The sequence below is a fragment of the Homo sapiens genome, chromosome 11 (assembly GCF_000001405.40).
Source record: "Homo sapiens chromosome 11, GRCh38.p14 Primary Assembly".
NCBI lineage: Eukaryota > Metazoa > Chordata > Mammalia > Primates > Hominidae > Homo > Homo sapiens.
Window position 1 is genome coordinate 69,637,655 of NC_000011.10, and position 24,574 is coordinate 69,662,228.

General features: G+C 58.2%; 2 protein-coding genes across 2 annotated transcripts, besides 15 other annotated features; one reads left to right on the forward strand and one right to left on the reverse strand.

Annotated features, from left to right (window-relative positions):
• Positions 370–573: a silencer, noted in NCBI's record as "fragment chr11:69452792-69452995 (GRCh37/hg19 assembly coordinates)". NCBI's record gives its function as "represses an EF-1alpha promoter that drives an FKBP-Casp9 reporter gene in an ReSE screen in K562 erythroleukemia cells {active_cell/tissue: K562}" and the evidence as "EXISTENCE:reporter gene assay evidence [ECO:0000049][PMID:32094911]".
• Positions 370–1,326: a biological region, named in NCBI's record as "H3K27ac-H3K4me1 hESC enhancer GRCh37_chr11:69452808-69453748".
• Positions 386–1,326: an enhancer, noted in NCBI's record as "H3K27ac-H3K4me1 hESC enhancer chr11:69452808-69453748 (GRCh37/hg19 assembly coordinates)". NCBI's record gives its function as "activates a minimal SCP1, AML or CMV promoter by ChIP-STARR-seq in naive H9 embryonic stem cells {active_cell/tissue: H9 hESC(naive)}" and the evidence as "EXISTENCE:reporter gene assay evidence [ECO:0000049][PMID:30033119]".
• Positions 1,327–2,265: an enhancer, noted in NCBI's record as "H3K27ac hESC enhancer chr11:69453749-69454687 (GRCh37/hg19 assembly coordinates)". NCBI's record gives its function as "activates a minimal SCP1, AML or CMV promoter by ChIP-STARR-seq in primed H9 embryonic stem cells {active_cell/tissue: H9 hESC(primed)}" and the evidence as "EXISTENCE:reporter gene assay evidence [ECO:0000049][PMID:30033119]".
• CCND1 (cyclin D1) lies at positions 3,502–16,820 on the forward strand. Its single transcript, NM_053056.3, has 5 exons — positions 3,502–3,857; positions 5,377–5,592; positions 6,178–6,337; positions 10,340–10,488; positions 13,464–16,820. The coding sequence occupies exons 1-5, from the start codon at positions 3,660–3,662 to the stop codon at positions 13,626–13,628; spliced, it is 888 nt and encodes a 295-aa protein (NP_444284.1). The 5' UTR covers positions 3,502–3,659; the 3' UTR covers positions 13,629–16,820.
• Positions 3,773–4,475: an enhancer, noted in NCBI's record as "H3K27ac hESC enhancer chr11:69456195-69456897 (GRCh37/hg19 assembly coordinates)". NCBI's record gives its function as "activates a minimal SCP1, AML or CMV promoter by ChIP-STARR-seq in naive H9 embryonic stem cells {active_cell/tissue: H9 hESC(naive)}" and the evidence as "EXISTENCE:reporter gene assay evidence [ECO:0000049][PMID:30033119]".
• Positions 5,098–5,237: a silencer, noted in NCBI's record as "silent region_3694". NCBI's record gives its function as "represses an Ori minimal core promoter by ATAC-STARR-seq in GM12878 lymphoblastoid cells {active_cell/tissue: GM12878}" and the evidence as "EXISTENCE:reporter gene assay evidence [ECO:0000049][PMID:35858748]".
• Positions 5,328–5,387: a silencer, noted in NCBI's record as "silent region_3695". NCBI's record gives its function as "represses an Ori minimal core promoter by ATAC-STARR-seq in GM12878 lymphoblastoid cells {active_cell/tissue: GM12878}" and the evidence as "EXISTENCE:reporter gene assay evidence [ECO:0000049][PMID:35858748]".
• Positions 5,518–5,777: a silencer, noted in NCBI's record as "silent region_3696". NCBI's record gives its function as "represses an Ori minimal core promoter by ATAC-STARR-seq in GM12878 lymphoblastoid cells {active_cell/tissue: GM12878}" and the evidence as "EXISTENCE:reporter gene assay evidence [ECO:0000049][PMID:35858748]".
• Positions 5,994–6,738: an enhancer, noted in NCBI's record as "H3K27ac-H3K4me1 hESC enhancer chr11:69458416-69459160 (GRCh37/hg19 assembly coordinates)". NCBI's record gives its function as "activates a minimal SCP1, AML or CMV promoter by ChIP-STARR-seq in naive H9 embryonic stem cells {active_cell/tissue: H9 hESC(naive)}" and the evidence as "EXISTENCE:reporter gene assay evidence [ECO:0000049][PMID:30033119]".
• Positions 9,715–10,458: an enhancer, noted in NCBI's record as "H3K4me1 hESC enhancer chr11:69462137-69462880 (GRCh37/hg19 assembly coordinates)". NCBI's record gives its function as "activates a minimal SCP1, AML or CMV promoter by ChIP-STARR-seq in primed H9 embryonic stem cells {active_cell/tissue: H9 hESC(primed)}" and the evidence as "EXISTENCE:reporter gene assay evidence [ECO:0000049][PMID:30033119]".
• Positions 11,203–11,946: an enhancer, noted in NCBI's record as "H3K4me1 hESC enhancer chr11:69463625-69464368 (GRCh37/hg19 assembly coordinates)". NCBI's record gives its function as "activates a minimal SCP1, AML or CMV promoter by ChIP-STARR-seq in naive H9 embryonic stem cells {active_cell/tissue: H9 hESC(naive)}" and the evidence as "EXISTENCE:reporter gene assay evidence [ECO:0000049][PMID:30033119]".
• Positions 17,276–18,213: an enhancer, noted in NCBI's record as "H3K4me1 hESC enhancer chr11:69469698-69470635 (GRCh37/hg19 assembly coordinates)". NCBI's record gives its function as "activates a minimal SCP1, AML or CMV promoter by ChIP-STARR-seq in primed H9 embryonic stem cells {active_cell/tissue: H9 hESC(primed)}" and the evidence as "EXISTENCE:reporter gene assay evidence [ECO:0000049][PMID:30033119]".
• On the reverse strand, positions 19,544–20,261 carry LOC124902704 (uncharacterized). Its single transcript, XM_047427985.1, has one exon. The coding sequence runs from the start codon at positions 20,259–20,261 to the stop codon at positions 19,557–19,559; it is 705 nt and encodes a 234-aa protein (XP_047283941.1). The 3' UTR covers positions 19,544–19,556.
• Positions 20,093–20,820: an enhancer, noted in NCBI's record as "H3K27ac-H3K4me1 hESC enhancer chr11:69472515-69473242 (GRCh37/hg19 assembly coordinates)". NCBI's record gives its function as "activates a minimal SCP1, AML or CMV promoter by ChIP-STARR-seq in naive H9 embryonic stem cells {active_cell/tissue: H9 hESC(naive)}" and the evidence as "EXISTENCE:reporter gene assay evidence [ECO:0000049][PMID:30033119]".
• Positions 23,200–23,700: an enhancer, noted in NCBI's record as "H3K4me1 hESC enhancer chr11:69475622-69476122 (GRCh37/hg19 assembly coordinates)". NCBI's record gives its function as "activates a minimal SCP1, AML or CMV promoter by ChIP-STARR-seq in primed H9 embryonic stem cells {active_cell/tissue: H9 hESC(primed)}" and the evidence as "EXISTENCE:reporter gene assay evidence [ECO:0000049][PMID:30033119]".
• Positions 23,701–24,201: an enhancer, noted in NCBI's record as "H3K4me1 hESC enhancer chr11:69476123-69476623 (GRCh37/hg19 assembly coordinates)". NCBI's record gives its function as "activates a minimal SCP1, AML or CMV promoter by ChIP-STARR-seq in primed H9 embryonic stem cells {active_cell/tissue: H9 hESC(primed)}" and the evidence as "EXISTENCE:reporter gene assay evidence [ECO:0000049][PMID:30033119]".

A 24,574-nucleotide genomic window follows, 5' to 3' on the forward strand; every position in this document is an offset into this window, starting at 1 on the left:
GAGGAATTAGAATCGCCTTTAACCCTCAAGAGTTGCGCCTTCAGCCTCGGGATCCCAGATGCGTCGTTGGAGCCAGGGCCGCCCCCCTACCTGTTGGGTTTGCGTTTTAACTCCAGCGCACACCTTGCCGGCAGCCCTCGGAGCTAGGGGAGGGGTCTCGTTTCCCCGCAGCCCGCCGGACAGACGACTGGGGCACGGGAGGGGCGGTGGCAGGGTGGTCTGTGTGTGGCTGAAACTAATTGATCTGGAGCGGAAACGCACGTCTGCGGTTGGGGCGATGGGGGGGGCGGTGCGGCTGTCCATGTGCCGAGCGTGTGGCTGTCTCGGGTGGGCACTGGGGCCGGAGTTCGCCCCGGCCCACCTCGCAGTTTTGGGGCGCCTGGGATCGGCGCTACGTAAGCGAAGCAGAGCTGCCATAGCACGTGGGCCGCCACGCGCACCCCAAAAGCAAGCAGTGTGGGGGGAAGGGGAGCTCGAGCGCCTTCGGAGCCCAGGGGCCGGCTTTCGGAAGCGTTTTCCCGGGCGACTTAAGGGCTTAACAATGGAAAACTCGCGGAGCCTGAGCCAAGTCCTTTCAAGTCGCCGCCAGGTATGCGGCTGCAGGTGACCCCACCTGGGTGCGCCCGCCCGCCAGCCGCCCTGGTGGAAAAGCGGGTGCGGGAGGTCGCTGGCGAAAGGTCGGGACTGGTCCCTGCACCACCCGCCCCCAACCCAAGCCCCGAGCCCCGCGGCGCGCAGCCGCGCTGAGTCCCGGGGTCTGCGTCGCGGCGCGCCGGTTCCTGAATGAACGCGCTCCCTTCCCCCGCCTGAATGAAGGTTCCCACAGCCAGGGACGGTGGCGAACACGCGCCTGCAGCGGAATTCGCTTTCTCCTGACCGACCATCCGCCCAGGCCGCGGTCACCGGGGCGGGGGCCAGGGGGCGAGGAAAGCGTGAAGGTGATTTCAGTTAATTTTGGATTTTCTTTCAAACAACGTGGTTACCCTCCCGACTGGGCCACTTGCCCTTTGTCTCCAAATGGTCACCAAGAAATAAGAACAGAGCACTTTAAATGAGCCCAGAATCCGCAGTTCCTGCTTCGTGGTGGGTTTTAAGAAGACAGTGTAAAGTAAAACTGCAACCGAAAAGTTTTTTAAAGTTGCTTTTCTCTTTGGAAAAAATAAAATCAAAATGCTTTCTCTGCGCTTCTTGAAGCAATGACCCTCAAAAGCCCAGAGGTATTGGCCCCCTCGGGGGACCCGGGGGCCGCCAAGCAGGGTTCCCCCAGGTGGGGGCTGGGCAGCTGGCGCTCCCCGCCGGGCCCCAAATTCCAGCGCCGGGCCCCAAATTCCAGCGCCTCCCCCGCGGGTTCCTGGACGGCTCTTTACGCTCGCTAACCGGGCTTGCAATTTTGCGCTCGTCCCTGAGCCGGGAAATCAACGAAGTTCCTAGTCGAGATCTGCCCGGTCCGCCTAGTAACAGCGCCGCGCCCCCATTGGCTCATGCTAATTCCAGTTTCCTCTGTCTTGCGCCCGGGATGGGGGGGTGAAGCTCCCTCCTGGACCCAGAGCCGGTTGTGCCGGAGTGGGCGAGCCTCTTTATGCCCTGCTGCCCCTAGCCGACTTCGGCCCGCTTCGCGCCTCGGGCTGGGCCAGGGCGCACGCGGGGCTCGGGGCCCCTCGCCCCACGGGATGGGAGAGGCCGGGTGATAGCTCCGGGCCCCATAAATCATCCAGGCGGCCGCCGGGTCGGGATTTTATGAATGAAAAAGCAGCTGGGCCGCCCTTGTGCGCGGGCTGATGCTCTGAGGCTTGGCTATGCGGGGGCCAACGCGATTGTGGGTGCTCGGGGAGTGGGGGGGGGCACGACCGTAGGTGCTCCCTGCTGGGGCAACCCATCGCTCCCCATGCGGAATCCGGGGGTAATTACCCCCCCAGGACCCGGAATATTAGTAATCCTAATTCCCGGCGGGGGAGGGGGCGCGGGAGGAATTCACCCTGAAAGGTGGGGGTGGGGGGGGTCGCATCTTGCTGTGAGCACCCTGGCGAAGGGGAGAGGGCTTTTTCTATCAGTTTTCTTTGAGCTTTTACTGTTAAGAGGGTACGGTGGTTTGATGACACTGAACTATATTCAAAAGGAAGTAAATGAACAGTTTTCTTAATTTGGGGCAGGTACTGTAAAAATAAAAACAAAAGTTAAGACAGTAAAATGTCCTTTTATTTTTTAATGCACCAAAGAGACAGAACCTGTAATTTTAAAAACTGTGTATTTTAATTTACATCTGCTTAAGTTTGCGATAATATTGGGGACCCTCTCATGTAACCACGAACACCTATCGATTTTGCTAAAAATCAGATCAGTACACTCGTTTGTTTAATTGATAATTGTTCTGAATTATGCCGGCTCCTGCCAGCCCCCTCACGCTCACGAATTCAGTCCCAGGGCAAATTCTAAAGGTGAAGGGACGTCTACACCCCCAACAAAACCAATTAGGAACCTTCGGTGGTCTTGTCCCAGGCAGAGGGGACTAATATTTCCAGCAATTTAATTTCTTTTTTAATTAAAAAAAATGAGTCAGAATGGAGATCACTGTTTCTCAGCTTTCCATTCAGAGGTGTGTTTCTCCCGGTTAAATTGCCGGCACGGGAAGGGAGGGGGTGCAGTTGGGGACCCCCGCAAGGACCGACTGGTCAAGGTAGGAAGGCAGCCCGAAGAGTCTCCAGGCTAGAAGGACAAGATGAAGGAAATGCTGGCCACCATCTTGGGCTGCTGCTGGAATTTTCGGGCATTTATTTTATTTTATTTTTTGAGCGAGCGCATGCTAAGCTGAAATCCCTTTAACTTTTAGGGTTACCCCCTTGGGCATTTGCAACGACGCCCCTGTGCGCCGGAATGAAACTTGCACAGGGGTTGTGTGCCCGGTCCTCCCCGTCCTTGCATGCTAAATTAGTTCTTGCAATTTACACGTGTTAATGAAAATGAAAGAAGATGCAGTCGCTGAGATTCTTTGGCCGTCTGTCCGCCCGTGGGTGCCCTCGTGGCGTTCTTGGAAATGCGCCCATTCTGCCGGCTTGGATATGGGGTGTCGCCGCGCCCCAGTCACCCCTTCTCGTGGTCTCCCCAGGCTGCGTGTGGCCTGCCGGCCTTCCTAGTTGTCCCCTACTGCAGAGCCACCTCCACCTCACCCCCTAAATCCCGGGGGACCCACTCGAGGCGGACGGGGCCCCCTGCACCCCTCTTCCCTGGCGGGGAGAAAGGCTGCAGCGGGGCGATTTGCATTTCTATGAAAACCGGACTACAGGGGCAACTCCGCCGCAGGGCAGGCGCGGCGCCTCAGGGATGGCTTTTGGGCTCTGCCCCTCGCTGCTCCCGGCGTTTGGCGCCCGCGCCCCCTCCCCCTGCGCCCGCCCCCGCCCCCCTCCCGCTCCCATTCTCTGCCGGGCTTTGATCTTTGCTTAACAACAGTAACGTCACACGGACTACAGGGGAGTTTTGTTGAAGTTGCAAAGTCCTGGAGCCTCCAGAGGGCTGTCGGCGCAGTAGCAGCGAGCAGCAGAGTCCGCACGCTCCGGCGAGGGGCAGAAGAGCGCGAGGGAGCGCGGGGCAGCAGAAGCGAGAGCCGAGCGCGGACCCAGCCAGGACCCACAGCCCTCCCCAGCTGCCCAGGAAGAGCCCCAGCCATGGAACACCAGCTCCTGTGCTGCGAAGTGGAAACCATCCGCCGCGCGTACCCCGATGCCAACCTCCTCAACGACCGGGTGCTGCGGGCCATGCTGAAGGCGGAGGAGACCTGCGCGCCCTCGGTGTCCTACTTCAAATGTGTGCAGAAGGAGGTCCTGCCGTCCATGCGGAAGATCGTCGCCACCTGGATGCTGGAGGTGCGGGGCTTCGGGCGGCTCTCTTAAGACTTCCCTGCAACTTGTTGCCCAGACCCACGTTTCTTTGCTACTCACCCCCCTCCCTTCTCTCCCGCTAGAACTTTGAAGTTTGCCGTGGTGTTTCTAGGGATCCGTATTTTCAAAATAAAAATTGCGGGTATTTTCTGAAGGAGGAAGGGGTGGGGGTGGGGGTGCTAGAAGTAGCGTTTCGTGGGAGGGGAGAAGGGGGTCCGGGAGGGGTGCCTTCGGGAGAAGCCAGTGCCAGGGGCACCCCAATGGGCCCGAGGGTGCGGGCTGGCAGGCTGGGTGCGCTTTGTGTCCCCCGCCTGCGCCCCAGCCCGGCTGCGCCTCAGCGGCCGGGAGCCGCCAACTCCGGGGGGAGGGGGCATAGATTTGATTTTTAAATTAATATCCATGGACACGTATGCAAGGGCCGCTCGTGCCAGTATTATGCGCCATCTTTGCTCTTTTATTGCAAAGCAAAAGTGTTTATTAATAATTGGGGGCAGGGTGGGGGCGGGGAGCGGCCGCCGGGCGCTGGGGCCGCAGCTAAGGGCCGCGCGGCTGCCGGGAGCCCGCGGGAGGGGCGCAGGGACGCGGCATGGGTAGTTTTGGGGGGACGCCGCTAGGGAAGGGGGGGCCTTTGTTCAAGCAGCGAGTCCCGGGGCGCCCCGAACGGGCAGCCTGGGCCGGAGAGCACGGCGAGCTGCAAGGTCGCGTGGCCCCCAAGACGCCAGGGCTTGATCCCCGTCTGCAGGGATATCGGCTTGGAGGACCTTCTCCGAGCGAGCCGGGGGCCTGGGAGCACATTTTCAGACCTTCGGTGGGCGCCTGAGGGGCCCGCAAGTATTTTAAAATAATTTTTGAAAGTGCGGCGTGGTGCCCTTGCGAGAGGGAAACGCCGCCCGCGCCCAGGGGGAAGGGGGGGCCCCGGAGTTTGAATTCCTGGGGCTCCCCCCGGAGCCTGTAACGAACTCCCAACCCCCGGCCTGGGTAAAGGGTCGCCCGAGGGTCATTTTCAGGGTTTTTTTATGCACTTAGTTATTTTTTTAATATTTTTAAATATTTTTTGAAAAGATGACGTCTGGGGAAATGCGGCGCGGCGGCCTGGGACGCCACCTTTGTGTCTCGCAGGCGCGGCGCCCAACCCCGCGGCCCGTTCCGCGGCCCCGCACCCCAGTTGGTGTCGACCCCCAGTCAGAGGGACCACGGAGCTCCAGGGCGGGCCAGGGTCCCGGGGGCCGGCAGCCCGCGCCGCCGCGCACGCCGCCCAGCTGTGCCCGCTCCCGCCCCCACCGTGCCAGCCTCGCGGGGACTTTCCCTTTCAGTTTCGGGGAGGGTGGGTACTGGGGACGCGCGGGGGAGGGGGCGCATCACGGGAAGCTCCTGCCGCCCCCAGCCCCGACCCCTCGGCGCCCTCCAGACCTGGCGGCCCTGCCAAGCGCGATGGGGGGTGCGGGGGCGTGCGGGGGGGCGGCGCGACCTGGCGGCGGCGGTCACGGGCCCCGTGCCTCCGTAGGTCTGCGAGGAACAGAAGTGCGAGGAGGAGGTCTTCCCGCTGGCCATGAACTACCTGGACCGCTTCCTGTCGCTGGAGCCCGTGAAAAAGAGCCGCCTGCAGCTGCTGGGGGCCACTTGCATGTTCGTGGCCTCTAAGATGAAGGAGACCATCCCCCTGACGGCCGAGAAGCTGTGCATCTACACCGACAACTCCATCCGGCCCGAGGAGCTGCTGGTAACCACTGGACCCCGCCGCCCCCCGCCCCCCGCGAGCCGCACGCAGGACCACGGGGCCGGGGAAGGTGCAGGCGGTGGCGGCCGGCCCGCCTCTGACATATCTGCTCCTCCGAGGGAGGGCGGCCCCGCCGCCGGGCGTCCCTGTCCGGGGAGCGGGCGGGATCCTAGCCGCCCTCGTCCCGCCGCCCTGTGTGCGCTTGCCTGCGACTCCCACCGCGTTCGCGCCCCGCGGTGTGGCCGAAAAGTGGGCGGCGCGCGCCCTCCAGCGGCTGCACGAGGAGCGCCGCGCTCGGCGCTGAGCCTCCAGTTCCAGGTGGTGGGAGGTCTTTTTGTTTCCACTTGCAGAGTCTTTTCACGCGGCGGGCGCCTTTTCTGTTTTGATCTGGGATTGCGTGTTGCCCCAGCTCCCTTGAGTCCCCAGCATTCGCCAGCCCTCCCCTCCAACATCCAGGACCGCACGAGACGCAGGGGCCAGTGCTCTGAGCCGGAGGTGCGGCGTGGCCCGGCCCCCGTGCTGCCGGCTTCCCCGCGCCCCCGGGCTGGCCCGCACCTCCCCTGATGGCCGCTCACCCTGTGTTCGCAGCAAATGGAGCTGCTCCTGGTGAACAAGCTCAAGTGGAACCTGGCCGCAATGACCCCGCACGATTTCATTGAACACTTCCTCTCCAAAATGCCAGAGGCGGAGGAGAACAAACAGATCATCCGCAAACACGCGCAGACCTTCGTTGCCCTCTGTGCCACAGGTAGGGCAGGCCCGGCAGCCCCCGGCCTCCCCTTGAGAGCCGGCTCCTTAGGTGACCCTGGCCGGCTTCTTGCTCTCCACCTGGGTGCTGTCTGGGAAGATGTCCCCAGACCCCCTCCTGCGCTGGAGAGCGCTCTTCCAGCTCTGGTGAGCAGAGGCCCTGGATTGTTTGTCGCGCTGGATGGAGGGAGATTTGCTCCCTCACGGCCACCATGCAGTACCTTGGGCATTGGTGTGGACGGCTCAGCCTGCCTGTGTCCCGTTACTCTGGCCTCGTCCTTCAGGCCAGGCAGCCTGTGGCCACTCCATGCTGAAAGGGGTTTACCTTGGCCACAGGGCCGCCTCCTTTCTCCACCCACCTCCAGCCCTTCTTGTGTCCTTAAGGAGCCTGAGCTGCAGAGGCCCCCTCCTGGCCTCTCCCAGGCTGGGCCACCTGCCAGAGGCGCCTCCAGGGGCGGGGAGAGCTGTCGGCCTGCCTGCACCACGTGCTCTGGGCAGCCGAGTGCAGGGGTGTCCAGCAGAGGAGCTCGGCTGCCTGAGGCCCTGCCAGGGGTGCCGGCAGCCAGCCGGGCTCAGCTGAGCCCTGAGGGGGCGCTTCAGAGCACTCTCAGCTTGGGCCGCCACCGTGGGCAGCAGAAGCACCCAGTCCTCACTTCCCCTGGCATGGCCCCAGAGGCCCCTCCCTGACATGGCCTTGGCCCCAGAACCCAGTGGGGACAGACTCGCACATACACAGGGTGCCGCCTCCTGCTGTCCCCAGCCCTGCCTCTGACCCCCCTGTGACCGCCTCCTTCCCTGGCCCAGGAGGCCTGGTTACCTTCATGGGGGAGCATGGCCCCATCCCACCCAGCTCTGCTGTGGCCCACCTTTGGTCAAGCCTCAGTTGTCACATCTGTTTGGGGGCTCACTCTGGGTGACCTAGGCCACAAGGCCCACGGGGCATCAAAGAGGCAGTAGCATCTTCTCCCCTCCCCAGAGGGCAGAGCCCCCCAAGCCTACTTCAGAGCTCCCTTCTGACACCGGTAGCCCGCAGCCGGTATTCCAGAATGGGTTCTGGTTTAGGCGTGAGGCCTCCCCCACCTCCTCCACCTGCTTGGGGCATGAACCCCTCCCCCACGTTTCCAAGCGAGTCCCCAAGGTGGGCAGATGAAGATGCCAAGGATGTCGACCAGTCTGGATGGGTCTGGGGTGGGGGGGCATGCGGCAGACAGGGAGGCATTCTCTGGCTGGTGCTCCTCAGAGGAGAGAGGCCTCCGGAGACTCCAGACAGCCTTTTATGGAGCTGAAAGTGGCTTCAGAGAAATGCAAAGTTTCCTGGAGAGAACGTGGGGCGTGGTTCTTGCACAGCCTCCCTACAGGGTGGCTCCAGCAGTGGAGCTCCCCTCCCAGGACCCCTGGGTGCTAGTGGGAGGCAGTGGGCAGGTGCAGATTCTCGTCCTTCCCACTACTGCACACCCTTTGTCTGCGAAGGCGCCCCCAGCGGTGGGTGAAGGAGGAGGGACACTTGGGGACCCAGCTGTGCACGTGCTCTCAGTGACTGTGGAGTCCACTCCAGGGTGGGTCCCGAGGGAGGGGCAGGAGACCAGGGGACCCACCCCTGCAAAGTGCTCCGGGTCCTGACCCGTGGCCACCCCATGGAACGTAACTGAGCAGCCAGTGCCTTGTTCCTGCTGGACATCTGTGGAGACAAGAGTGACTTACGGCTGCTTAAAGTCAGAAACAGGTTGAAGGAGGTGGAGGCGTGGGAAAGAGTCTAGGAAGGTGTTTTTGCCCTCCACGTGGCAAAGGTTACATTTAAAGGTGATGCTGGGTGTTCTCCCTGCACTAGGCATTCCTGGCCCCAGGTCCCCAGCAGGTGTGCACATGCTGCATACACTCACGCATGGGGGTTTCAGGGCAGGTGCGCCCTTGGCTCCGTGGGAGGCCAGGTGAGGAACGTCCAGTGCCAAGGAGCTTCCGGGACAGCTGTCACTTCCCTTTACAACCAGGCAGCGGATAGGGTCAAATCCTGGAGCTTTGGTGTCTAATTCTGGGTGGCTCCTAATCTAAGCACAGACAGCACCACACACTGGGGTGGGGGCACGAGCTTCTGAAACAACGTGGCCCCAGTGACTCCACGCTGTGTGTGCCCCTGGAGACGGGGGGGTGCACAAGGTGCGGAGCCAGCTAGAACCTGTCGCTCCCTGCAGAAGCGGTTTCTGTGTGCGGTTCTGATTTGCCTCAATGAGAAGGTTTTCATTCATGGCTCCCGGCTCTCAGACTGGGTGGAACTGCTCCCATTTAAAGGGGAAAAGAGGTGGCTCGGCTCGTTAAGGATTTCTTTTTCTAAGTTGTTACGGCGCCCAGCAGCCGGCTTTGTCTCCCCTTCAGGGTGGCTGCCTTTCTTCCCGGCCCCTCGCCGGCGGCCCTCTCTTTAACAAGGCCGAAGTTGTTTATTCTCTCGGGATGAAGTCTCGGATGGGCCGCCACACCCCTGGCGGCCCGTGGGGGCCCCTCTCCCTTTGTGCCTGGGTCGGCTCCCATTCAGCTCCCCCGACCCCCCTTGTTCCCGGGCGCTCAGTGGCGCGAGATGAGGCGATGGGGCCGACAAAGATGCCACACTCATCCCTGCCGACGTCCGGCTCCCAGCCCAGGGCCCCTGGTTCCTGTGCAGAATTCCTCGTGGGTGTGACAAAAGGCTGCCCCCAGGCTCCGCTGGGGTGGGGGCCAGGCCAAGAGGCACATCCCACACTGGCCCACCTGTCCACGGTAGGCGCATGACTGCCCTGAGGAGGGGAGGCCGGCATTCCCCGCCACAAACCAGGACGTAATTGGTGGCAGGGCTCTCTGTGGAAAGAGCCAGTCTGCTGTTTGTCTAGGAGGTCAGTCACAGAGGCCCCGAGACGCCCACTACTGCAGCCTGGCAGGCGGATGAGCCCAGTATCTGGCAGTGACCAGAGGGAGTTTTGTGCAGACCACAAAGGCTGATGGGCCGCCCTAGATTGGTGTCCCTCTTGGAAGTGGGCCCAGATGTGCGGGACAGTCCCCAGGAAGCCCCAGGTGAGGGCACTGGTGCCCTCTTGGGAAAGCTGCTCCCTCCTGGGGCCCGGCTCCCGGCCCAGTCCTCCAGGGGTGTCCCATGGTGACTGGTGCTAGGAACCCCACACCTCTTCCCTTACTTGGGAAGTCACTGGAATTGTTGGGCTACATCAGACGGCCCAGAAAAGTGTTTTTGTCATCGGCCAGAAATAGGAGAGTTGTGAGTAGAGGGCCCGGGTGGAGTTGGGGTGTACTTGGTCTGTGCTCTGAAGGTCACTGTGACAGTCATGGTCCCATGGTAAGGGGCATGGGTTGCTGGAAGAGCTCTTCCTTCCCGAGTGAGCCAAGCCGGGCTCTCCTGGCGCCAGGGCCTGAGCCGCAGCCACACCACAGCCGCCCTGAAGGCTGCCGGCCAGGGCTTACCCCTCAAGGGACACGGAATGGCTTCATCAGTACCCTGCAGCCCCGTGGCCTGGCCCGGGTGGAGGCCTAGGCTTCAGCCATGCGATGTCCCTTCAGAATATGACTTGTCTGCAATCCCTGCTGCTGGGGGGTGGCAGGTACTTGGGGTGAGGGTTAGGGTCATAGAAGCGACATCTCTACGTCCTCATATTTGCGTCATCTAATTTTGTTTTTGTGAATACGTGATAACATTCACAAGGCTCAAGATGCTAAAAGGATGAGAAGGCAGTGATGTCCCCATCACCTGTCCTGTGTCTTCCCGTGGCTTTCTCTTTCCTTGGTTATGTTTGAGTCAACAGTGGGGCTGACGTTCCAGGAGGGTCCGTGGGCCAGGCTCTTGCTCTCCGAGTGCCCAGGGATGGCTGGAGGCTGAGGAGGGCCTGGATGTGGAGCCTCAGATACCGAGTGCTTCCCTTCAGGCCGGGCCGCTTGCTCAGAGCCAGCACACAGGGATGCCCGGATCACGGGGGCCCTGAGAGGGTCCCCTGCTCACAGCCTCCTTCCCTCTCTCCTTCTGCCTCAGATGTGAAGTTCATTTCCAATCCGCCCTCCATGGTGGCAGCGGGGAGCGTGGTGGCCGCAGTGCAAGGCCTGAACCTGAGGAGCCCCAACAACTTCCTGTCCTACTACCGCCTCACACGCTTCCTCTCCAGAGTGATCAAGTGTGACCCGGTAAGTGAGGGTGATGTCCCAGGCAGCCTTGCCGGGGCTTACAGGGGGAGACACCTAGTGCCACGGAAATGCCGAGGCTGGTGCCAAGGCCCCCAAGGGTGACAAGGTTGGGGCTGGGGCTGGGCCCCTCGGACCCCAGGCCACAGACTGACAGGGCACCGGCTTCTTCCACTGCTCCTAGAACTTACTGACTGGCTGGGAGGTCCTCACAGCCTTCTCACGTCCCCTGGGGCTTCCAGGAGCCGTAGAGTTTCTGGGCGAAGCGTCCGGGACGGAGGCCCCAGGCGGCCCCAGCCAATGGTCTGTGTGGTGATGGTGTGTGGGGTTAGGCCCAGGCGAGCTTTGTTTGGGCCACAATGTGCGTGGCCAATAAATAGATGCTTGAAAAGGGCTCCTGTGAGGTCCGAGACACCGGACAACGGGCGGATAGAGACAGCCTTGTTGTTTACGGCCTCTTTGAGAGGCTGCTGCTGTTAAACCCTGGGATGACTGTGTCTTTCTTCTTAAAAATGCCATTGTTTTATTCCCGAGTCTTTTCTTAAAGAAAGAATTAAAATGACAATCAAAAGGGTTTGTGGCATTTACCAAATTAGACCAGAGAGGTGGCCGGGTCAGCCGCCGGCCCCGCGGTGTGTGAGGGAGTGACCGCCTGACCCCAGCTTGGGGCTGGGTGGGCCTGCAAGACCCGTTTTGGCTCTGGCCTGGGCCGCCTCTTGGTGGTCTGCCCTCGAGCCTCCCGGGGACTCCGCACGGGTCTCAGCAGATGCTATCTAGGGTCCACCTGCCTGTCCCCTGCCTAGTGGTGCCTCTGTCCCGGGGACACTGGGAGTAGCGGCTGCCCAGCCCATGTGTGTCTCGGAAGAGGAAGAAGCTTTTTTGCCGTGGGACACCGAAGTTGGCAGGGGCCTCCCTTCTGTGTTCTCGGCCATGGCCTCCCTTGCACCCTGCCCCGTGTTATCCTTTGGGGGTGGTGAGGTGTCCTCACCCGCTGTAGGGTGGAGGCCAGCAGCCCGCAGCTCTCTCAGGAAAATGGCTCAGAAACACCATCGAGGCCTCCAGAAGCCCAGCAAAGAGAAAGCCCCTCCATCAAAATGAAACTCGCGTCTGCACTTTTCATTTCGAACTCCACGCCCTGAGTGAAAACCGCTTCCCCGCCAGGGGTGACTGCCCTGGGATGTTGCTGTCTTCGGGCAGTTGTGGGAAGTTGGGCGCTGGCCCTTATTTGAGTAGAGACCATCTTAACTAGATTGGAGGCACACGTCTCACAGCTGACAGACACACGGGGTGAAGTTACCCGAGGCGGAGTCCACTCTGCCTGATCAGCTAGTGACCAACGTAGCTGAGCCCAGACTCAGAAAAACCGTCCACAGCAGAGGCCCCTGCATTTTCTAGGGCGTGTTCTAGAATTTTCTTTGGTGGGTGGAATGTCCATCTGTGCAAATCGGGTGCGCAGTGCCACACACCAGTGACTTTTCGCGGAGGAGCGTGCTGCCTTTTTGGAGCTTCTGGCTGTGGGAGAACAGCTTTGTCCACCGGGGTAGCCTTGCAGGCAGCTGTGGGGCCAGAGGAATGAAGGAAGGTCCTGGAGTCTAGCTGCATGTGTGACCCTGGAGTGGGTCATGGGCGAGGGACGGGCCGCAGGTGAAGAATCCCTGGATGGAGCTGCCAGGCCCCTGGGGCTGAGAATTGAAGCTGGCTGGTGTTTTAGGTTGAACGTCAGGAGTCTTGTATCTCACCCCAGGCCTCTGGCCTCAGTTTCCCCATCTGTACAGTGGGACTGTTTGTGCAGCCAGCCCGGCCAGCTTCATTTGCCATGATGAGAATTTATCTGAGGGGCGGGAGAGGAAAGCCCTCCCTATAAAGGTACAGGCGCTAAAATGTCGTGACCTCAGTGGTCCACCTAAAAGTCGTTCTGGCCTGGGTCATCGCCTGTCGTGCTATGCCTTTGTCCAGCCCCTTCTGGTTGGGAGTTAAGTGGCACCTGTGCGGCACGTGGTGGGGCTGTGGCCCAGCCCTGCTCCTTGTGGAAGGTCTGTTTCCTGGGCTGCCTAGAGACTTGGCTTGAAGCCCTAGCGTGGCTTCCTGGCAGTTGGGACACACACAGCCCCAACACATGGAGCCGGTTCTCCATCCAGAAGCCCCCGGGCAGTAAGCAGCCACTTCAGGCTGCGTGGGACTTGCCCGTGGTGGAGCCTAGGAGAGGCCCCTGGCTGGGCGTGGCGTTCCAGATTTCACGGCTGCTCTTTCCCACTGACAGTGTGGTGTGGACGCTGCCAAGGGAGTCTGGAGCCCCAGAGGGTGGAGGTGCAGGACTTCCAGGAGCGTCCGTCGCACTCCACCCGAGGGCGAGCACCTCAGTGGCCGCAGTGGGTGGATGCATGCTGTGCCAGGCTGATGGCTGGCCCCGGGGCACAGGCCTGAGCGGGAGAGGATGGAGGGGAGGGATCAATGGTCCAGGTCCCCCTGGCCACCCAGCATTCATCCTCAGTCATGCACGGCCCAAGGCTTCGACAGCCATTGATCATGGAAGGCCAGGTTCACCTCAAGGGCTGCCACATGGAGAGGTTAAGTCTGAAAAGGCTGAAAAGGCAGGGTTCAAAGGGCCTCCTGTCCAGATCAGATGGCACTGAATTCCCCAGGGAGCTGGCACGGCCAGTGGGAACAGGCGGTGAAGGCGCTGTTGGACATGGGGACGGGCAGGGGGTGTGCAGGGTGGGCGGGCAAGCATCTGGTGTCTTGTGGCTCCAGAGACCAGGTGGGAGGTGGAGGCATTTGGTCCTGAGTGTCCTGACAGGTGATGGCAGCTCCCACATCTCGCTCAGGTTCAGAGGAGGCAGCATGGGCCGAGGGACAGTTTTTGGCTTAGTCTTGCTCTTATAAAGGCTTCCGGGTCATGGCACCTGGGAAGGGGCCCTCGCTGCAGGCCCCTTCTAAGGACCCCCTCTTCCCACCTCTCCCCACCCTCTCTCTCTCAGGACTGCCTCCGGGCCTGCCAGGAGCAGATCGAAGCCCTGCTGGAGTCAAGCCTGCGCCAGGCCCAGCAGAACATGGACCCCAAGGCCGCCGAGGAGGAGGAAGAGGAGGAGGAGGAGGTGGACCTGGCTTGCACACCCACCGACGTGCGGGACGTGGACATCTGAGGGCGCCAGGCAGGCGGGCGCCACCGCCACCCGCAGCGAGGGCGGAGCCGGCCCCAGGTGCTCCCCTGACAGTCCCTCCTCTCCGGAGCATTTTGATACCAGAAGGGAAAGCTTCATTCTCCTTGTTGTTGGTTGTTTTTTCCTTTGCTCTTTCCCCCTTCCATCTCTGACTTAAGCAAAAGAAAAAGATTACCCAAAAACTGTCTTTAAAAGAGAGAGAGAGAAAAAAAAAATAGTATTTGCATAACCCTGAGCGGTGGGGGAGGAGGGTTGTGCTACAGATGATAGAGGATTTTATACCCCAATAATCAACTCGTTTTTATATTAATGTACTTGTTTCTCTGTTGTAAGAATAGGCATTAACACAAAGGAGGCGTCTCGGGAGAGGATTAGGTTCCATCCTTTACGTGTTTAAAAAAAAGCATAAAAACATTTTAAAAACATAGAAAAATTCAGCAAACCATTTTTAAAGTAGAAGAGGGTTTTAGGTAGAAAAACATATTCTTGTGCTTTTCCTGATAAAGCACAGCTGTAGTGGGGTTCTAGGCATCTCTGTACTTTGCTTGCTCATATGCATGTAGTCACTTTATAAGTCATTGTATGTTATTATATTCCGTAGGTAGATGTGTAACCTCTTCACCTTATTCATGGCTGAAGTCACCTCTTGGTTACAGTAGCGTAGCGTGCCCGTGTGCATGTCCTTTGCGCCTGTGACCACCACCCCAACAAACCATCCAGTGACAAACCATCCAGTGGAGGTTTGTCGGGCACCAGCCAGCGTAGCAGGGTCGGGAAAGGCCACCTGTCCCACTCCTACGATACGCTACTATAAAGAGAAGACGAAATAGTGACATAATATATTCTATTTTTATACTCTTCCTATTTTTGTAGTGACCTGTTTATGAGATGCTGGTTTTCTACCCAACGGCCCTGCAGCCAGCTCACGTCCAGGTTCAACCCACAGCTACTTGGTTTGTGTTCTTCTTCATATTCTAAAACCATTCCATTTCCAAGCACTTTCAGTCCAATAGGTGTAGGAAATAGCGCTGTTTTTGTTGTGTGTGCAGGGAGGGCAGTTTTCTAATGGAATGGTTTGGGAATATCCATGTACTTGTTTGCAAGCAGGACTTTGAGGCAAGTGTGGGCCACTGTGGTGGCAGTGGAGGTGGGGTGTTTGGGAGGCTGCGTGCCAGTCAAGAAGAAAAAGGTTTGCATTCTCACATTGCCAGGATGATAAGTTCCTTTCCTTTTCTTTAAAGAAGTTGAAGTTTAGGAATCCTTTGGTGCCAACTGGTGTTTGAAAGTAGGGACCTCAGAGGTTTACCTAGAGAACAGGTGGTTTTTAAGGGTTATCTTAGATGTTTCACACCGGAAGGTTTTTAAACACTAAAATATATAATTTATAGTTAAGGCTAAAAAGTATATTTATTGCAGAGGATGTTCATAAGGCCAGTATGATTTATAAATGCAATCTCCCCTTGATTTAAACACACAGATACACACACACACACACACACACACAAACCTTCTGCCTTTGATGTTACAGATTTAATACAGTTTATTTTTAAAGATAGATCCTTTTATAGGTGAGAAAAAAACAATCTGGAAGAAAAAAACCACACAAAGACATTGATTCAGCCTGTTTGGCGTTTCCCAGAGTCATCTGATTGGACAGGCATGGGTGCAAGGAAAATTAGGGTACTCAACCTAAGTTCGGTTCCGATGAATTCTTATCCCCTGCCCCTTCCTTTAAAAAACTTAGTGACAAAATAGACAATTTGCACATCTTGGCTATGTAATTCTTGTAATTTTTATTTAGGAAGTGTTGAAGGGAGGTGGCAAGAGTGTGGAGGCTGACGTGTGAGGGAGGACAGGCGGGAGGAGGTGTGAGGAGGAGGCTCCCGAGGGGAAGGGGCGGTGCCCACACCGGGGACAGGCCGCAGCTCCATTTTCTTATTGCGCTGCTACCGTTGACTTCCAGGCACGGTTTGGAAATATTCACATCGCTTCTGTGTATCTCTTTCACATTGTTTGCTGCTATTGGAGGATCAGTTTTTTGTTTTACAATGTCATATACTGCCATGTACTAGTTTTAGTTTTCTCTTAGAACATTGTATTACAGATGCCTTTTTTGTAGTTTTTTTTTTTTTTATGTGATCAATTTTGACTTAATGTGATTACTGCTCTATTCCAAAAAGGTTGCTGTTTCACAATACCTCATGCTTCACTTAGCCATGGTGGACCCAGCGGGCAGGTTCTGCCTGCTTTGGCGGGCAGACACGCGGGCGCGATCCCACACAGGCTGGCGGGGGCCGGCCCCGAGGCCGCGTGCGTGAGAACCGCGCCGGTGTCCCCAGAGACCAGGCTGTGTCCCTCTTCTCTTCCCTGCGCCTGTGATGCTGGGCACTTCATCTGATCGGGGGCGTAGCATCATAGTAGTTTTTACAGCTGTGTTATTCTTTGCGTGTAGCTATGGAAGTTGCATAATTATTATTATTATTATTATAACAAGTGTGTCTTACGTGCCACCACGGCGTTGTACCTGTAGGACTCTCATTCGGGATGATTGGAATAGCTTCTGGAATTTGTTCAAGTTTTGGGTATGTTTAATCTGTTATGTACTAGTGTTCTGTTTGTTATTGTTTTGTTAATTACACCATAATGCTAATTTAAAGAGACTCCAAATCTCAATGAAGCCAGCTCACAGTGCTGTGTGCCCCGGTCACCTAGCAAGCTGCCGAACCAAAAGAATTTGCACCCCGCTGCGGGCCCACGTGGTTGGGGCCCTGCCCTGGCAGGGTCATCCTGTGCTCGGAGGCCATCTCGGGCACAGGCCCACCCCGCCCCACCCCTCCAGAACACGGCTCACGCTTACCTCAACCATCCTGGCTGCGGCGTCTGTCTGAACCACGCGGGGGCCTTGAGGGACGCTTTGTCTGTCGTGATGGGGCAAGGGCACAAGTCCTGGATGTTGTGTGTATCGAGAGGCCAAAGGCTGGTGGCAAGTGCACGGGGCACAGCGGAGTCTGTCCTGTGACGCGCAAGTCTGAGGGTCTGGGCGGCGGGCGGCTGGGTCTGTGCATTTCTGGTTGCACCGCGGCGCTTCCCAGCACCAACATGTAACCGGCATGTTTCCAGCAGAAGACAAAAAGACAAACATGAAAGTCTAGAAATAAAACTGGTAAAACCCCAGCGTGGTGCCTGCCTCTTTGCTTCCTGGGCTGGCCGTGAGCCAGGGACGCGTGTCCTGGTGCCCTAGAACCAGGGCAGGGTGGCAGGCTTGGCGGATGTGGGAGGCCGCAGCCTGTCCTGTGCGCTGTGGGAAGTTCAGCAGCATCCTGACCTCCATCCCCGGGATGACAGTCACGCCACCCGCCGTGACAACCAAGAATGTCTCCTGACACTGCCACATCCCCGGGGGTGGGGACAGAATCCAGCCAGGAGCAGGCACACCCCTCCCAACTGGGAGGAAGCCCTCAGCACAGGTGTGTGAGGTGGGAGGCGGTGTCCTGTCCCCGGGAGGCTCCAGAGAATAATTTGCAGGCTGCCTGGCTGGGTGAGCCCACCTCCAACCACGCGAGACAACAGCTCCGGCCTGGGTGACGTGAGCGGTGCCCATTGATGGGGAACATCTTCCCCCTCTTCCTTGCCCCACCAGTTTGTCTTCCCGGGTTATTTGCAGATAGGAAAATAAATAAAGCCGGCATTCGTTAACCCTCTTCTGGCGCAAACTGCTGTTTGCTCTGGATGAATCATGGTCCTTTGGCGACGCCAGGCTCCGGGAGAGCAAAGCACCGTGTCAGGGCCATGATCCGGGGTGGCCTTTCACTGGGATCGTGGGGACCTGGAGGCCGCCTTATAGGACACCCATGACGCCCACCTCTGGATTTCAGGTGCACGTGACTGGACTTAACTTCAAACCCCAGGGTGGAGGCAGGTAGTGGGAGTGCCCTGGGAAGGTGTCCTCGGACCTTGGTCACTGCTCCTGAACCCATCTGTGAGGCTGGTTTGTCCTCATCCCAAGCTAAGTGGAAGCTCAGGTCCCAAGCCACCGATGGGTGCTACTTGTCAGCTGCAGGTTGAATCTCCGTGGCCTTTATGAAGCACCTGCTGTCTACCCTTCCTGCCTTGTAGAGCACTCCTCCCAGGGCTCAACAGTGGGGCCGGGGTGGTCGGTGTGTTGGCTCCACAGGCGCCTGCCCTGGGAGGAAGGTGGGGTGTGGAGGGAAACGCTTGGCCCCTGTAGGTCTCCACCAGCCTCTCCCCTGAGGGTGGGGGCTCCGGGAGCCTTCCTCGAGGGAGTCCTATATTGAGTGGGTGGGGGAGCCTGCAAGGTGCCCCTGACAGGTCACATCAGAAAGAGCTCAAGGGACAGTCGGAGCCAGAGGTGACACTGGTGGCCACTCGGGTGGCTCACAAGGCCCAGCTCCTCCTTGCTCCTGGGCAAATTACTCTGAAGGCAGGGACCAGGTCTGCACCATTGCGGCTCTCCAGTTCCAGGCAATGGCCAGGTCCTGTGTCAGGGCTGGGGTCCTAGGGAAGCCATGTCCCCACCCCCGGCCTGCAGCTGGGTTTACATTCATCCCCCGAGAGCACATGGGTGTAGCAGGAGGCCTGTGCAGAGAGCTCCGACCATCGCACAGGGCACCTTTGGTTGTTTCACGGAGCAGGCAAGGGAGCCATCGGATCCTGTTAGGTTTGAGCAAGGATGTGGGGAAGAAGCTGGAGAGCCACTTTGCCATGCAGGGAGAGGAGCACATGGGTCTAGGGATCTACTTTAGTGTTTGGAAGGTTTTTTAAGATGAAAGAGGGATGTGTAGGCTGATAGGTCTGGCAGAGCCAAAAGGCAGCGACATGTCTACTGGGAGAGATGGAGCTGAGCGCGGGGCTCAGGCAGGGTGGCAGGGCAGGGCCGGGGCCCTGGGTGGGTCAGGTGGGTTCACAGCCAAGTGTGTAGAGAGGGCTTGGGCCCAGAGTGAAGCAGTTGCAAGCTCTCCCACAACCCATTCTCTCTGTCTCGGCATCTGTGGCATCCCGTGATGGGTGGGTCTGTACACACCCCACCCCTGGCTGTGCCACAATGGGGGTGTCTGTACACCCCTCACCCCTGGCTGTGCCACGATGGGGGGGTCTGTACACCCCCCATCCCTGGCTGTGCCACGATGGGGGGTTCTGTACATCCCCCAGTGATGGGTGGGTCTATACATCGTGGTTATGCCACGAGCTCCAAGGCTGTATCAGTCCGTTTTCACACTGCTAACAAAGACATACCCGAGACTGGGTAATTTATAAAGAAAAAGAGGTTTAATAGACTCACAGTTCTACGTAGCTGGGAGGCCTCACCATCACGGCGGAAGGCGAAAGGCCCGTCTTCCATGGCAGCAGGCAAGAGAGAATGAGACTCAAGTGAAAGGGGAAACCCCTATAAAACCATCAGATCTGCTGAGACTTGTTCACCACCATGGGAACAGTATAGGGGAAACTGCCCCATGATTCAATCACCTCCCACCGGGTCCCTCCCACAACACGTGGGAATTATGGGAGCTACAATTCAAGATGAGATTTGGGTGGGGACACAGCCAAACCATATCAAAGGCATCGTCTGGCCACTCTAGGCCCTTGTTCCCAACTCTCAAACTCCACTGACATCACCTCTGTGCCTGCAACCCCTCCTGGGATTCAGTGGAGACCTCGTCCCTTGTTGGAGTATCTGCGCTACCCAGAGGGTGATGGTAAAAACTGACCTTTGAGGAACTTCAGAGACAAAGCCTTCCGCAGTCAGCTCTCCCTGCAGCCCCTTCGCAGAAGCCTGTCCTCACACGCCCGCCACCCCTACCTGCCCTGCCTCCTGGCCCATCTCCCTGCAGCCAGACAGTCCTCATCCATTCTTCATCCTCTGCCCCCAACCCCCAGCCTTCCTATCTCCCTTCAGCTCCGTCCAAGGTCCCTGGGACTCAGCCCCATCTCTCCCCAGCCTTGACCCCAATAAGCTCGATGTCTTTGCCCAGGAGCTCCTGACACACCAGACTGCATCCAGCTTCCTGTTCTGCGCTTGGCCCACCGCCTCGGTCCACAGGAACCTTCATCTCTGCTCTGACTGTAAGGATGGGCTCTCTGAGGGCTTCCCCACCCCACAGCAGGCAGGTGGTTCTGGGAGTCTGGGATTGTCATGCCTGGGCACCTTCCTGCTCTGGCTGAGCCCCTCCAGGACGGAAATCTCCCAGATTTCTCTCTGCCTCCGTCTCCCCACCCTGGCATACAGTGGGTCCTAGGAAGGGGGCCGAATGGAAGGGAGGTCGTGTCGGCTCCTACAGGGCAGCCCCAAGCTGCTGGGCTGAGGTGCAGAGCCATGGGTCCAGCCTGACCCGCATGCCGGGAGCTGATTCCATGGCTGGAAGGGTCGGGGGTTCCCCAGGAGCCCAGACAGCACCTAGAGTTGTCACAAGGAGTGAAAGGCCCTGAGGGGACAGAGGAAGGAGGCTGGGCAGAGTGGGCACGTGGACTTCGGACCGCGCTTGTGGGATAACAGTGGCTAGGGCTGTGCAGAGGGTGGTGCACTGCCCATGGGAGTCCAGAGAAGCCAGGTCCAGTGGCAGTGGCATGCATCCGGCAATCCCTCCGGCTACCCTGCATGCAGCGTGACCCTCCTTGAAGCACCCCAGGAAGCAGTCACAGCCTCGCTCTGCCCAGCATTGGGGGCCTGGCCTCTGAATCTGGTGGGGAAGGCTGTGTTGCCTGCTGGCACCCGCTCTATCACCAGTCCCACCATAAGGCTAGTCCCCAAAGTCAGCACTGCAGCCAGGGCCAGCGAGGGCCAGCAAGGGCAGGCCTGTGCAGGGGCTGCAGCGTGGGGTGTGCGTCCCGCACTCTGGGCCAGCCTCGCAGCTCACAGGGCTCTGTCATCCCAGGAATGTCTTTGATCAAGAGTTTATGCAAGACGAGGAAAGCAAGCCCAGGACCTCTAATCCGTTCCCACAGTCCCCTGCCCGCCAGGGCCCCACAAGCCCAGCGCCACACCGCCAGGCCTGAGCAGACAATAGCAGGCGGACGGGTGGGCGGGCAGCTCTGGGGCCGCTGGCCTTGGGGCCCACATCCGGGAGCATTGTCACCGCCACTCACGAGGGCACACAAGGAGGGCTGGGGAAGAGAGAATGCAGAGCCCTCTGCTGAAGGGGCTTCGGTGGGCCTTGAGCCTTTCAAAGACGGCGGTGTCCATTAATCCTTTTAATTTGCACCTAGCGGCAGCTGAGACAAGCCTCTCAACCGGCAGCCACTTTAAGAGCTGAGTGGTCTAACCCGAGGATCAGCTCCTATTCCAGACCCTGGGCCCTCTGAGCCTGTCGAGGCAGTCCTCCTTGCCTTTGTTTAATCACGGGAGGAATCGCAGCTGGAGGTTACTGAGCACGCACTGTGTGCCTTGTGCTCAACACCGAACACAGTTTCTCTCTGAGTTTTGCAACGACCCCATGGGTTGGTGACAGGGAGGGGACACTCTGGTGGCAGCCACAGACACAGCCCTGCCCTCCCAGAGCCTACACTCTCCCGCACACAATCATCCCATCTGCTAGGTCAGGGATTGGCAGGTTTTCTGGAAAGGGCCACAGAGAGAGGCTTCAGGCTTTGTGGGCCACAGGTTCTCTTGCCCTGTGCAAAAGCAGCTGCAGCCGCTCTGTGAATGAGTGAGCATGGCTGTGTGCCAATAAAGCTTTATTTACAAAAATAGGCAGCAGACTGGATTCAGGCTGAGGGTGGTAGTTTGCCGACCCCTGTTGTAGATGAGTAAACCGAGGCCCAGAGAGGTAAAGTAACTGAGCCAGGACTGCACAGCTAGTGTGTGACCAAGCCAGCCTGGTGGGTCAGCCTCATGGAGAAGAAAAGGCTCAAGCTTCAAAAAGGGAAATGCACGGAGGCTTCATTGGGCCATTTGCAGCCAGGCCCCACGCACACAGCTCAGGGCCCTGCTTCGCCAGCTCCACCTGTTTCGAGGCTCCCAGTAGGTTGCCCCTGCGGGCGGCACTGTGTCTTGGCTGCTGGCCTGGAGAAGGGCAGCCAAACAGGCCGGCAGTGGACATCTGAGGGTGACCAGCTGTTTAAAAAGAAAACTCACCGGCATGTATAGGCACACATTAAGCACACACGTTTTGGAGTAAAAGGCCCTGGGGTTGGATCTCGGATCTGCAGCTTTCCAGCTGTGCGGCCTCATTTCTCTGGGCCTCAATGTTCACACCTATAACATGGGGAAATCCTGCAAGAACACAGCCCATGATGGGGAGTCGTCTCCATCTCCTACTCACGACAACGACCAGCACAGAACGGGGGCTCCATAAATCTCTGTCAATAACTGAATTCTTTCTGGGGTGCTGAGGATTCTATGGCTCAATGTGTGTGAAGCACTGCTGAGCACCGAGCTTGGGGTGCAGTGATCACTCAGGGAACGCCATCATCCCCTCGGCGCATCCGCATAATCACCATCAGCATTCCATGCACTGCCCAGGTCTGGAAGCACAGGCCTCCATGCCACGGCGGCCGCCTGGGTGGTGGCACCAAAGCCGATCTTACTTCCCTCCTTTGGCACATTAAGTAGACAGTTCTGGGTCTTCTTGACACCACGGATGCCCCCTCCTGGTGTTGACAGCACCCAGACTTTGCTCCAGGGAACCACCATTCCCAGATCTGTGGTTTGAGTGGGACCGAACCCATCCCCAGCTCCAGGCCAGGTCTTCATAGGCTGAAACCCAACTGCACATCCACACCCACCAGAAGAGCAGCAAGTTAATGGATGGGTGAGAAATCAAATAGAGCCATTGAGTCTTGAGGAGACATTTTCTGGAGCTTCTGAAAAAGATAATGCTTCCCCCTTCCTTAGGATTCCCAGCAGGGAAACACAAGCCCAGGGGTGGCACTGCCCCCCTGCAGCCCTAAGGGAAGACTGAGCTGCTCCCAGGACCTCACAGGGGAGGCTGAGCGTAAGGCCAGCCCTGAGGGAAAGCAGGGAATGGGTCTCCAGACAAACTGCTGGATCAAGCCTCTCCTGAAGTCATCCCCCTTTTGTTCCAGAAGCCAATCATTGTCCTTCATTAAGTCAGTTTGATATGGGCACTGTGTCATTTGGTTTTCAAAGACACTTAACTATTACAGCTTGTGTGTGTTTTCTTTTTTTTTTTTTGAGACGGAGTCTCACTCTCGCCCAGGCTGGAGTGCAGTGGCCTGCTCTCGGCTCACTGCAAGCTCTGCCTCCCGGATTCACGCCATTCTCCTGCCTCAGCCTCTCGAGTAGCTGGGACTACAGGCGCCCGCTACCACGCCCAGCTAATTATTTGTATTTTAGTAGAGACCGGGTTTCACCGTGTTAGCCAGGATGGTCTCGATCTCCTGACCTCGTGATCCACCCGCCTCGGCGTCCCAAAGTGCTAGGATTACAGGCGTGAGCCACCGCACCCGGCCGCTTGTGTGTGTTTTCTACCTCTTCTAGATCTAACATGTTATGATTGATATAAACAACAGGAGCGACTGACAAAGTTACCATGTGATCTTGGAATTTCAACATGCCTGTCTTGCTTAGCTGGGAGTTCCACAGGGTCAGGGAATGACTCCTCTTGGGGCCACCAGTGCCCAGAAGTATGCCTAGAACTGCTCTGTCTGAAGGGACAGGTCCCTCTTCCATGGCACACACTCTGTGTGTAACAGAGCACACGTGTGACCAAACTGACCTGGAGAAAGGGCCTGACCACATCCATATCCCAAGTTCTGAGGCCGGATAGTGCCTGCAGGGGCTGAGACCAGGGGAGAGGCTCAAGCCAGCCTTCTCTGGTGGACCCTGACTCAGTCCTCTGTGCAGGGCAGCTGCGCCTCCCAGAAGGCAGAGGCCTCTTGGAGAGTGAGCCTTGCGGTCACAGCGCCTTTCGGGGGCTCCCGCCACTTGCCCTCAGTGGCGGCTGAGACCTGGGGGAGTCCAGGCAAATCCCTGAGGAGGCCCCACATGCAAGGCCAGAAGTGTCTGGATGGTGTGGCCGGCACCCTTACCCTCCAGACCAGCAAACGAAGCCCAGGCAGGGAGAGGGGCCTTGTAGTTTTCTGTGGCTGCTGTAATGAATTTTCACACACTCAGCAGCTTAAAACAACCAACATTTCTCTCATAGTTCCAGAGGCCAGCAGTGTCTGCAGTGCCCGCTCTCTCCCAGCTTCTGGTGGTTTCGGGCGACCTTCGGCTCTTCTCAGCTGGTCCATGCGCAGCTCCAAACTCGGCCTCTGTCCTCACAGGGCTATCGGCCCCATGTCTTCACGTGGCAGTCTCTCCTCTGTGCCACTGGCTCCCGTCCCCTTAAAAGGACACCAGTCATATTGGACGAAGGGGCCACCCTACTCTAGTATGACCTCACCTTAACTTACATCTTTTTTTTTGGGGGGGGACAAAGTCTTGCTCTGTTGCCTGAGCTGGAGTGCAGTGACGTGATCTCAGCTCACTGCAACCTCCGCCTCCCGGGTTTAAGTGATTCTCTTGCCTCACTCAGCCTCCCGAGTAACTGGGAAATACAGGCACCACCATCATGCCTGGCTAATTTTTAAATTATTATTCTTTTTAGTAGAGAGAGGGTTTCACTGTGTTGGCCAGGCTGGTCTCCAACTCCTGACTTCGTGATCCACCTACCTTAGCCTCCCAAAGTGCTGGGATTACAGGCGTGAGCCACTTCGCCTGGCCCAATTTACATCTTAAAAAAATCTACAAAGACCCTATTTCCTATTTCCAAGTAAAGTCACAGAAGCTAAAGTACCAGAAGCTAGGACTTCAACGTTTCCTTTTGCGGATACAATTCAATTTGCAACAGACTTGGGCTCTCAAAGCCTGGAAGCAGCCTCCACAGTCCCCTCGAATTTCAGGGGCACATACTCACTGGAACCAGCAGAGGGACATCAATCCATGAGCCTCTAGCTCAGCAAGCATCACA

Excerpts from the sequence above, each read along its gene's own strand:
- CCND1 (NM_053056.3), top strand. The coding sequence starts at position 3,660 with ATGGAACACCAGCTCCTGTGCTGCGAAGTGGAAACCATCCGCCGCGCG. Across the intron at positions 3,858-5,376 it reads TCGCCACCTGGATGCTGGAG|GTCTGCGAGGAACAGAAGTG; the intron begins GTGCGGGGCTTC and ends GTGCCTCCGTAG. Across the intron at positions 5,593-6,177 it reads TCCGGCCCGAGGAGCTGCTG|CAAATGGAGCTGCTCCTGGT; the intron begins GTAACCACTGGA and ends CTGTGTTCGCAG.
- LOC124902704 (XM_047427985.1), bottom strand. The coding sequence starts at position 20,261 with ATGCAGGGTAGCCGGAGGGATTGCCGGATGCATGCCACTGCCACTGGA.